This window comes from Homo sapiens, chromosome 14, assembly GCF_000001405.40.
Source record: "Homo sapiens chromosome 14, GRCh38.p14 Primary Assembly".
In the NCBI taxonomy this organism is placed as follows: Eukaryota; Metazoa; Chordata; class Mammalia; order Primates; family Hominidae; genus Homo; species Homo sapiens.
The window spans coordinates 96,707,153-96,719,261 of record NC_000014.9 but is presented as its reverse complement, the minus strand read 5'-3'; the positions used below and the strand labels follow the sequence as shown (position 1 = coordinate 96,719,261).

The 12,109-nt window shown below is 46.3% G+C and overlaps 1 annotated feature.

Annotated features, from left to right (window-relative positions):
- Nucleotides 8,849-8,908: an enhancer, noted in NCBI's record as "active region_8991". NCBI's record gives its function as "activates an Ori minimal core promoter by ATAC-STARR-seq in GM12878 lymphoblastoid cells {active_cell/tissue: GM12878}" and the evidence as "EXISTENCE:reporter gene assay evidence [ECO:0000049][PMID:35858748]".

The window sequence follows — 12,109 nt, the reverse complement described above, 5'->3', positions numbered from 1 at the left end:
GCAATACTTGCTTTCTTTAAACACCACCCACTTTGAGGTCACCAAACTGGAGAGATCCATCTTTTCTACTCTGAAAATGGGATTCTTGGCTGGACGCAGTGGCTCACGCCTGCAATCCCAGCACTCTGGGAGGCTGAGGTGGGCTGATCACCTGAGGTTAGGAGTTTGAGACCAGCCTGACCAACATGGAGAAACCCCGTCTCTACTAAAAGTAGAAAATTAGCCAGGCAAGGTGGCACATGCCTGTAATCCCAGCTACTTGGGAGGCTGAATCAGGAGAATCGCTTGAACCCGGGAGGTGGAGGTTGCAGTGAGCCAAGATTGTGCCATTGCACTCCAGCCTGGGCAACAAGAGCGAAACTCCGTCTCAAAAAAAAAGAAAGAAAAGAAAAGAAAATGGGATTCTTCTGCTTAAATTAACCAAGCACGTAGTGCCCGCACTTTTGCATGCACACACACACACACACACACACACTCGTGCCCAAATAGACAGTTTTTCAGAAATAAGGATGCAGATGAGAGACTCAAGGACAGGCCTTACTTGCTCTCTGTCAGCTTACAAGAGAATTTATTCCACATATTCATCCATGAATATTTAGCGAGGCAACAATAACATTCAATGACACCCATGAGATACACAACTCAGAGAGCCCTCTCCCAGGAACATACACAATGCTTGATGTCAACGTTTTAACTGGACTGAATGTTTGAAATGCAAGCATTAGCTTACAATAATCCTCCCCCGCCCTCTCTCTGTCTCTGTCCCTTACTCTCTCTCTCTCTTTTTATTTGCATATACAGACATCCCTCCTGTTTTTGATACAAACTGCCAAGCAAATTCTTTAACAGAGTAGACCTGGTGGGGTGTGTGGAGAGTTACCAAAGGTGTAAGTAGTGCTAATGGCACAAATGAATTTTCAGACATGCCACTCTTTCTTTTTTCTCAAGAGAAACAAAACAAAACGGAAAAAACTCACACATATTAGGCAAAGCTTTTCTGGGATTGGCTAACAAGGTTTAGCATTCAGTAAATCTGCAAACTTTTGACAAAACACTGTGGAAGGCTGAATCATAGCCCCCAAAGATGTCCAGGTCCCCAGCCCTGGAACCTCTGTATGTTACCTTACGGGAAAAGGCACTTTGCAGGTGTGATTAAGTTAAGGATCTTGAGATGGGGATGATCTTGTATTATCCAGGTAGGCCCTAAATATAATCATGAGTGTTCTTTTAAAATGAAGAGGGAGGCTTGGCTGTGAGAGAGAGAGGGGGTCAAAGGCCGCATGATGGTGGAAGCCGTGGTGCATTTGAGGAAAAGGCCATGAGCCAAGGATTGCAGGTGACCACCAGAAACTGAAAAAGGCAAGGAAACAGATTTTCCTCTAGAACCTCAGAAGGAACTGACCCCATCAACACCTTGACTTTAGCCCACTGACATCAATTTTTTTTTTTTTTTTTTGAGATGGAGTCTCACTCTGTTGCCCAGGCTGGAGTGCAGTGGCTCCATCTCGGCTCACTGCAAGCTCCACCTCCCGGGTTCACGCCATTCTCCTGCCTCAGCCTCCCCAGTAGCTGGGACTACAGGCGCCCGCCACTATGCCCGGCTACTTTTTTTTTTGTATTTTTTAGTGGAGACGGGGTTTCACCTTGTTAGCCAGGATGGTCTCAATCTCCTGACCTCGTGATCCGCCCACCTCGGCCTCCCGAAGTGCTGGTATTACAGGCGTGAGCCACTGTGCCCGGCCTGACATCAATTTTGAACAAAATTTCTTACAGTTCTGGTCTCTAGAACTGTAAGAAAATAAATGTTGCTCTTTTAAGTCACTAAGTTTGAGGAATTTTTACAGCAGCAAAGGAAATTCAGACAGTCATGAAGCTCCAGGGACAGGGCTTCGTTCCCTCCGCAGGCACTCCAGGCTCCTTCTGAGGAGCTCCGAGTGCTCCATTGTCAGTGGGGTTGGGGGGGGGCTTCATCCCCTCCGCAGGCACTCCAGGCTCCTTCTGAGGAGCTCCAAGGCTCCATCGTCAGTGGGGCCACTGGAAGCCATGCAGGTGCTTGGGCATTTGTGTTTGTGTGTTTCTAAAAGTCCTCTGTTTTTCTAATAAAGTCCCACTGTCAGAAATTTAAGATGTGAAGAAAAATTGGAAGAACATAAAAAGAAAAAAAATAAAAGAATACAAACCAAAACCAAAAAAAATGACACTCAACTATAATCCCAACCTCTAGAAATAGCCTTCGTAATAGTAATGATCATGATTTGTAATTACAGGTTTATTTTAATGATTATTTTTATTTTTATTATTTTATTTTATTTATTTATTTTTTTAGAGACGGAGTCTTATTCTGTTGCCCAGGCTGCAGTGCAGTGATGCGATCTCGGCTCACTGCAACCTCTGCATCCTGGGCTCAAGCAATCCTCCAGCCTCAGCCTCCCAAGTAGCTGGGATTACAGGCATCTGCCACCATGCCCAGCTATTTTTTGTAATTTTAGTAGAGGCAGGGTTTCACATGTTGGCCAGGCTGGTCTTGAACTCCTGACCTCGGGTGATCCACCCTCCCCGGCCTCCCAAAGTGCCGGGATTACAAGCATGAGCCACCACACCCAGCCTTAATGATTATTTTAAAAATAATGTCACTTTGCCCATCCTTTCCCCAGACAGTAGGGCCCAGGAAGGTGGGAACCCACTCCAGTGAAGAGCTCAGTGTCTGAGATATAGCAGTGATCCATAAATGCACTGTGTGATCACTGAACGAATGGCCTCTGCTAACATTTTGGTATATTTCTTTCCAGTCTTTTTTCTATGTATATTGCATATTTTAACTATTGCAATTGTTCTATGACCGTGTGTTTTTGTCCTACATTCCTCACTTAGTATTTTATTCTGAATAAGTTCTAAAGTCATTAAATAGTCTTCAGAACTTTATTTTAATGGCAGACTAACAGTCCATACTATAGATGTTTCTTTGTTAGGTTACATTCTCTTTTTTTCTGTTATAAATAATTCAGTAATGAACATCTTGGTGCGTAAATCTTTATCCACATTTCTGATTATTTTCTTGGGGTCAATTCTTAGGAGGGATATTATAGAAACAAACCATGTCATCATTTTTAAGACTCAGGTTGATGATCAGTGCATGCATTTAAATCAACTCTGTTTTCTGAGGGGAACCTTGGGGACGCAGGACGGCAGTGTACACAGTTGCATGGTGAAGCTGATCTGCTTGGTTTTCATTTAAGCAGAGAACACTGGCTGGGTGATAGGAGACCTGAACTCTGGTTTGAGATTTGCCATTTCCTAGTCACGTTTAACTGGATGTCCTCGTTTTTAAAACAGGAAGCCCAGATGATAACTTTAAGCTCTCTTCTATCACAATTCTAGTGGCTGGGCAAGGTGGCTCATGCCTGTAATCCTAGCACTTTGGGAGGCTGTGGCAGGAGGATCACTTGAAGCCAGGAGTTTGAGACCAGGCTGAGTAACTTAGTGAGACCTGTCTCTACCAAAAAAAAAAAAAAAAAAAAAAAAAAATTAAAGTAGTCATGCGTGGTGGTATAAGCCTGTAGTCCCAGCTACCTGGGAGCCTGAGATAGGAGGATCACTTGAGTGTGGGAAGTTGAAGCTGCAGTGAGCCACGATCATGCCACAGCACTTCAGCCTGGGTGACAGAGTGAGACCCTGTCTTCAAAAAAAGCAAAAAAGAAAGAAAGAAAATTATAGCAACTCCTCTTGGAGACCATTACTAAAGGGGAAAAGCCAGGGAAAATTAGGAGCAATTCATGCCAGATAACCAAATGTTGATCTTAAAAGTCCAAGCCATGAGGTTTGTAAATTAAACCATGGTAAAAAGTATTTAGCCACTCTCTATTCTGTACACACACAGCATCTGTTGTACCTGCATGTTTGTTGAACAATGATTCTAAATAATTTAAAGAATGTGCAAAGCCTTCCTCTCAGTCAACAGACTAAATGAAGTACAGTTGACCCTCGAAAAACATGTGGGTTAGGGGCGCTGACCCCGCCCCCCATGCACAGTCAACAATCTGTATAACTTTTGATTCCCCCAAAACGTAACTACTAATAGCCTACTGTTGACTGGAAGCCTTGCTGATAATATAAACAGTCAATTAACATATATTTCGTATGTTATTTGTTGTACTATAAACTGTATTCTTACAATAAAGTAAGCTAGAGAAAAGAAAGTTATTAAGAAAATCATAAGAAAGAGAAAATCTATGTATTATTCATTAAGTGGAAGTAGATCATCATAAAGGGCTTCAGCCTTGCTCTTTCATGTTGAGTAGGCTGAGGAGGAGGAAGGGTAGTCTTGCTGTCTCAGGGGTGGCAGAGGTGGGAGAAAATCCATAGAGAAGTGGACCTGTGCAGTTCAAACCCGTTTTCTCTAAGGGTCAACTGTAGTTGACCTGACTTACCAGATGCAGCAAATTCCACATATGCAGAATGAGAAGAAACAAAAGGTGGGCTGGGCGTGGTGGCTCATGCCTGTAATCCCGGCACTTTGAGAGGCTGAGGCGGGCGGATCGCTTGAGTCCAGGAGTTCGAGACCAGCCTGGGCAACATAGTGAGACATCATGTCTACAGAAAATACAAAAATTAGCCAGGCGTGGTGGCATGTACCTGTAATCCCAGCTACTCAAGAGGCTAAAGCGGGAGGATCACTTGAACCAGGAGGCGGAGGTTGCAGTGAGCCAAGATCACACCACTGCACTCCAGTGAGACCCCGTCTCAAAAAAAAGAAGAAGAAATAAAAGACGATTTGTAGAAACATGATTAATATTGCCATATTCCAATGCTTGGAAAAGTGTAATCCATGTCTGACCGCAACTCTATTAGCTAGTTTTCTTCCAGCCTAGTTTGTGCTTCTAAGCAAGGCACCTGGACCACTTTACAGCTCCCACTCCACAGTTCTTCTGGAAATTAGACACTTGCTCATTCATTCTTTTATTCAGTCAGTCAGTTGGTCAGTCAACAAACATTTGCTGGAAAGCTGTGCCAGGCCCTTTGGAGGTTCCAGGCGGATGGGGCTAAATAGAACAGGGTCTCCCTAGCACAGTGAGGGGGGGGCCAGAAATCTCAGCTCTGCCTCAAAGTGGCCACGTTATCTGAGAAAATGTGCCTCTCCTTTCAGCCTCTTGTTCCTCACTTGTGAAGGGGGACCATTAATACTTCACGTGGTCCTGTTAAAAAGAATAAATCAAGGTGTGTAATGTGTGGCACAGAGCCTAGTACCAAGGAGACAGTAAATGTCAGGCCCTCCACCCTGACCTAGAAACACTCTCAGCTTGAGGAGCAAGACAGAAATAAAGAAGGTTATTTCAGTCTAACAGAGGTTTTCACAAAGTTCTGTGTAAGAGTAGAGAGAGAAACCAACCGCTCTGGTTTTCCTAGATGCAAGAAGGGGAATGTTTGAAGTGTGCTGGGAGAAAGGTGAAGGGTTTACAAGCCCCCAGTGCTACCCTTCGGAGCCAAATGTTTAGAATCAGCCTGCAAGGATCCAGGCTGATGGGTGTTTATTTAGACACACACGCCAACAGCCTGTAATGTGCCCAGAAGAGGGAAGGGGGCCAGCGGGATGGATAGATTTTATGTGCAAGAAAGAATTGCGGCTGTGAAATGTGAAGTGAAAGATGCCTCGTTTTCGAATTAGGCTACGGGAAGAGAGGAAATGTATTTCTCCCAAAACCTAGAGAATTGGGCCAAGTTGGGCTGCAGAGAGGATTTCTGCATTTGGAAGACAATCTAATTTGGTGGGTTTGGGTTTTGGGGGAGGCAGCCTGGGTTTGTGTCTCAACTCTGCCATTTACTGAGCTGATGTGGCCAGGCAAGCTCTGTTTCCTAGAAAGTTCCGTTCTATGCCAGATAGGGATGAATCCAGGGCGCAGGTCAGGGGATTGGTGTGAGCATGGATGGGGTGCTGCTGGGAGAACACCTTACACAGTACCCAGCCATAACCAATGTTAGTGTTTATTATAACAATCATAAATGTTAGCTCTTGTTGTTATTATCAGGCAGGAGGCTGGTTGGGATGCTTCTAGCTAAATGTCCCTACGTCCTCGCTGTATACTCTTTCCACCACAGTTATGGAGGGTTGTAGGGAAACTTTTTAAAAAGAGGGGAAAGGGACAAGAGTGCATTTTCATTTTCACCCTGATGTGGATGAACCAACGTCTACAGCTGGCACTTCTGATCGGCCAATAACCCACGCTTCTCATTGATCTATCTATTCTCATTCCCAGGTGGAAGAGTGTCTTAGGATTCAGAGTCAACAAAAATTTTCCAAGTAATCCTCTGTTCTAGGCCCTGCACTTCCAGCAGCACCTCCCCTCGTTTTTTTTGTTTTTTTTTTTTTTCCTGAGACAGAGTCTCCCTCTGTCACCCAGGCTGCAGCGCAGTGGCATGATCTTGGCTCACGCAACCTCCACCTCCCAGGTTCAAGTGATTCTCCTGCTTCAGCCTCCCGAGGAGCTGGGACTACAGACATCTGCCACCACACCTGGCTAATTTTTGTATTTTTAGTAGAGACGGGGTTTCCCCATGTTGGCCACGCTGCTCTTAAACACCTGACCTCAGGTGATCCATCTGCCCCGGCCTCCCAAAGTGCTGGGATTACAGGTGTGAGCCACCATGCCCGGCCTCCTCCCCTAGTTTAATCTCAGTTCTCTCACCCCTTTGATAGCGGCATGAGTGGACAGTCTCAGAAAGCACAGAGAGGCCAGGTGACTTGCCCGAGGATACACAGCTTAGAGGTGAGAGAGCAGGCATTTGCAGCTAGAGCTGAATGACTACTGGTCTTTCATTACTTCACACCTGGAAGGGTGTAGGTTCCCTTCAGGGATGGGGGTGTCCGAGGAAGACCCACACAGGGACCAAAAACCCCCTCCTCACACAGACCTCCTGGCTACACTCAGAAAGGTATCTGTCCTGCAACTGGAGACCGGCTCCGTTCCAGACCCAAGTTCCTGACTTGCAGAAAGGGTGAACTTATTGTTAGTTCAATCATATCAGTGAATACAGGCAAATCATTATTTCTGCATTGCCATGAACCTGAAGCCTTCCTGGGGTGCAGGATAAGGAGAGGTTTATTAAGGGATTAGGAACCGTGTGCTGAGCAGGGTACCGGAGCGTCAAGAGGGGAGACTGAGCCCTAGGGCCTGTCCATGCATCTCCCACTGCCCGGCACTGCGGGGCTGGCACTTGGCATTGCCACTTCGGGGAGCCAGGACTTACTCAGGAGAGGAAACAGCCTCCCTCCTCATCCACTCAAGCTTCTCAGGAGGAGAGACACCATCTCTGAGCCACCTTTAGCCCTCAGGGAGGGCCCAGAGGAGAAGCTCAGGCCCTGGACACAAAGAAGGGCACGAGAGAGCCACGCATTTCCTGCTAGGACAACTCAACTGCGCGCCACACTGAAACAACTGGAATGCAGCAAATGGCCCGGGATATCCTAACTCGGTATGTGTGCTCCCCTGCCCAGCCTCGGACCTCCCTCAGGCTGCAGCCACCTGAATGGCCCAGGGGCCCGTTTCCATTCAGGCCCTGGCTTGTTTCAGCCCTCCCCTCTGCCAGGTGCTCTCTCACGTTGCCTGTCTGCATTCTCTGCTCCTGGACAAAGGAATCATTTCCTCTTCTCTGAGCCCCTCCATCACCCCTCCCCCAGCTATATTTGAGGAAAGGTCTCAAAACTCCTCGGGGGTGTTCATCTTTGCAGCTTCAGCTTTTTGATCAGGTCACACCCAGAATAACTGAATATAGGCATGGTTAATAAATTCAATAACTAGGTCAGGTACGGTGGTTCATGCCTGTAATCCCAGTACTTTGGGAGGCTGAGACAGGAGGATCTCTTGAAGCCAAAAGTTCAAGACCGGCCTGGGCAACATAGTGAGACCCTGACTCTACAAAAAACAATATTAAAAAAAAATTATCTGGGCCTGATGGTGCACACCTGTAGATCAGATACTCAGGAGGCTGAGGCAAGAGTATCGCTTGAGCTTAGGAGTTTGAAGTTACAATGAGCTATGATCATGTCACTGCACTCCAGCCTGGACAACAGACCAATACCCTGTCTCTTAAAAATAATAATAGTAATAATAAGTAAAAATACATTTAAACATTTAATAATTAGTTATAAATTCCTCATTTTCCCCATATACCCTTGCACCCCCATGTTACCCAATTTGGATAATTAACTAGCTAGATTTTATCTTTAAAAAGGGTTCTCCAGTATGATCTTATTTCTTACAGTAACCCTAAGAGATTGGGGTTCTCGCTGCCTCACAGAAATATTCATTTCATTTTCTCCCAATGCTGAGACTTGGACCCAGAGAGTTAATGACTCACCCAAGGCCACACAGGTAGGTGGTCACAAAAATGGGTCCCAGCCTGAGCTTTAGAATCTGCATGAGCCAAGGCCACACAACATTTCCCAGTCCCTGGAGCCAGTCTTGCCCTGGACATAAGCCCCTGGAAGAGGTTAAGCTGTGCCCAGGCTCAGATCGCCTTCTGGGCCTGGCAGCCCTCACCTGGGCCAGGTGGGGTATGGCCGAGGCCTCAAGACCCTCCTGCCAGGCAGCCCATCCTGCCTGCCCACGGGCAGCTCAGCCGGCTGCCCTCCACCGTCTGCCAATTCCAAGCTTTTCGGCAAACTGGCACCTAATCACCCACCATCTGTGAGCAGAGCGAGTCTTGGCTACCTCTTGGTGCTTCTTCAAATCAACTTGCAAGTTTTCAAAGTGACGCGAGTTCTTGGTGCTTGCAAAAATGTCAGCTTCCGTCACATCTTATTAAAACTGAAAATATGAAAAGGTTTCAGATAAACTGAAACAAGCCCAGTTTTAAGTGAGATCACTTTCTTTTTTTTTTTCCTAAAATGCAAAGAGTTTTGTTGTTTTTTTCTGATTACCAGGGTGATAATCATTATCTTTGCACCTGTTGCCCTCCATGGGGCCCACACCCTGAGAGGGCTGCAGCTGACTCTGTGCAGGGTGTGTCCGTGGTGGTTACGGTCACTTTCTTATGGTGACTTATTCACACAGGGTCCCCTTGGTGAGGTTACAGTGGTGGAGAAAGTACTAATAGCGAGCAACACTCCTGTGCCAGGAACAATGTCCTCTATGCATTCTCTTATTTAATCCTAAAGTAAGATTCTCCTGTTCTCTCCACAAAGGTGAGGAAATGGGGCACAGAGATGCCACTCGTCACATGGCTAGTAAGTGGCAGAGCTGGGATTTTAACCCAGGCAGGACACGGGCTGCTGTGGGACCTGCAGGCTGGGGAAGGTGCTTGGACTCCACCCTAGGGGCCCTGAGAAGCAGAGGGAGGGTTCTGAGCAGGTGTTGGCAGGGTCAGGACTGCATTTGAAACATCACTGGGGCTACATCATGAATTCACTCAGTACTCATTCAGTGCTACTGCTGCATAGCTTGATGCTAGATTCTATGGAGAAATATGAGATGGACAAAACCCAAATCTGGGGAAAGAAGGCCTGTGCTTAATTATGGTGCTAGCAGAACGAAGCGATAATGGCCTCCTGTTGCTTCCAGAATGAGCGCCAAATTTCAGAATCAGTCCCTCACTCACACCCACCCTCACTCCCCTCCACCCACCGTCCAGGCCCAGCAGGAACTCACCCCTGGAATGCCTGGCAAATAGACCCCCACTCTCCTGTCCACTTGTCTCTCCTCACCTGTGAAAGGGGAGTAGGCAAAAACCATCACAGAGTTGTTGGGTGGACTGAATGCGTGGCACTTGGCAACGCTCAAGACACAGCAGCTTTTACTACTGCCACCACGGATGCCACCACTGCTGCTCCCACCACCACGACCACCAGTGCTGCTAATCCTGCCACCACCACCGCCACCACTGCTGCGCTAATCCCACCACCACTACCACTGCCGCTAATCCCACCACCACAACCATCACTGCTGCTAATCCTGCCACCACCACCGCCACCACTGCTGCGCTAATCCCACCACCACTACCACTGCCGCTAATCCCACCACCACAACCATCACTGCTGCTAATCCTGCCACCACCACCGCCACCACTGCTGCTAATCCCACCACCACAACCATCACTGCTGCTAATCCTGCCACCACCACCGCCACCACTGCTGCGCTAATCCCACCACCACAACCATCACTGCTGCTAATCCTGCCACCACCACCGCCACCACTGCTGCTAATCCCACCACCACAACCATCACTGCTGCTAATCCTGCCACCACCACCGCCACCACTGCTGCTAATCCCACCACCACAACCATCACTGCTGCTAATCCTGCCACCACCACCGCCACCACTGCTGCGCTAATCCCACCACCACTACCACTGCCGCTAATCCCACCACCACTACCACTGCCGCTAATCCCACCACCACTGCCACCACTGCTGCGCTAATCCCACCACCACTGCCACCACTGCTACTACTGCTATTGCCACCATTACCACCGCTGTTGCTACTGTCACCACTACCACCATTGCTACCAGTGGTATTACTGCCATGACCACAACTGTTGCTACTCCCACAATGACCAACACTGCTGCTGCTCCCACCACCATGACCACCATTACTGCCACTGCCAGCACCACTATTATCAAAACAACACTACCACTATCACTAATACCACCGTCACTAGTACTGCTGTTGCTGCTACTGTTAGCACTGCGCTGATGCTACCACTGCTACCACAATCGCTGCTACTACCATTACGATTGCTACTGCTGCCAGTACTGCTGCTATCAATACAGCTGCTGCTGCTACTGCCACCACTGCTACTACTGCTAGTGCCACCGGCATTGCCACCACTGCTGAGACCGCTTCCACTGCTCGCTGCTGCTACCACCACTCCTGCTACTACTGTTATTATTACCTCTACTGTGATCACTGCTGCTATTGCCAATTGAGGAAGAACGAAGAACAGGTATAAAATCACACTGTACAATAGTAAGTGTACAAATTGTACACTTTTGTGTACTCTTTGAAGAAACTGTACAAAGAGTAAACCCAAGCAAAAATACTATTTCTAGCTATTAAGCAAAGAAATTCACTTTAAAGCACCCTTGAAATACCAGGTCATAACAATTAACTGGGGGGGGGAACTATTTTAAATAAACCTGTGCCATGCTTGTGAGACAGAGTTGAAGGCCTGATAAAATAGTGCATTGTTACAATGGACTGCTTTAGGATGGTGAAAGATATGAACTATCAAAAGCCTTAAAAATGCCCTTGAATCAACAATTTCCACTCCTGGGACTAATTCAAGAGATGACAAAGTGGGAGAAAAATATATTACCTGAACCTTGATCAGCAACAATAAAAACAGAGGGGAGATGAACCCAATGTTTGTGTCTCGGGGAATGAACCCCTCGACTGGTATATTCCTGCTGGTGGGAATATTACACAGCTTTGAACAACTGTGGTATTAAAAAAAACTGTACTACCCAGAAAGATGCTTAGGATGTACTGTTGAGAGAAAAAGATGAAGACATAACAAAGTATTTATACCGTGTTTAGAGTATTATAAAATATGTGTGCTCATAGACAATAAAACATAGAAAAATGAAAATAATTGTTGGAAGATTTGTATAGTAAGAAGAAGAGATTTTTTTCACGATCCTCTTTAATGTTGCTGTCGTATTGTTTTCTCAACACAAATGAAAAAGAAACGTCCCAACAATCTATTGATAGGTTTTTTCCCCTTTGAGTATAATATGGATGTGTCTATTTACAAGATTTCTCTTTTAAAATCTCATTTAGCGCCACAACAAAGAGTGTCCAACTTTTAGTTCATTTCAAGCGAGTTCCTAGTCATAAATTTATTCTCATTCACAATGTGTATAATGTGTGCACTTCAGGAGATTTGGTGATTATACAGGAATTCAGCGTTTTTAATAATTTCCTGAAGGGTTTTTGAAGCAGACAATGTGCTTTTCCTATTTCCCAAACAATCTGAATGATGGAAAATCTCCAAAATAGCTATGCCTGAGTCTTCCTTTCTTCCCTCTAATTTCACATACGTTTTTGTTGTTGTCGTTGCTGTCCTTGCACTTCTGCAAGTAGGAATTCTCCTTTTGAAGCTGTATCTTTGCAGACAAGA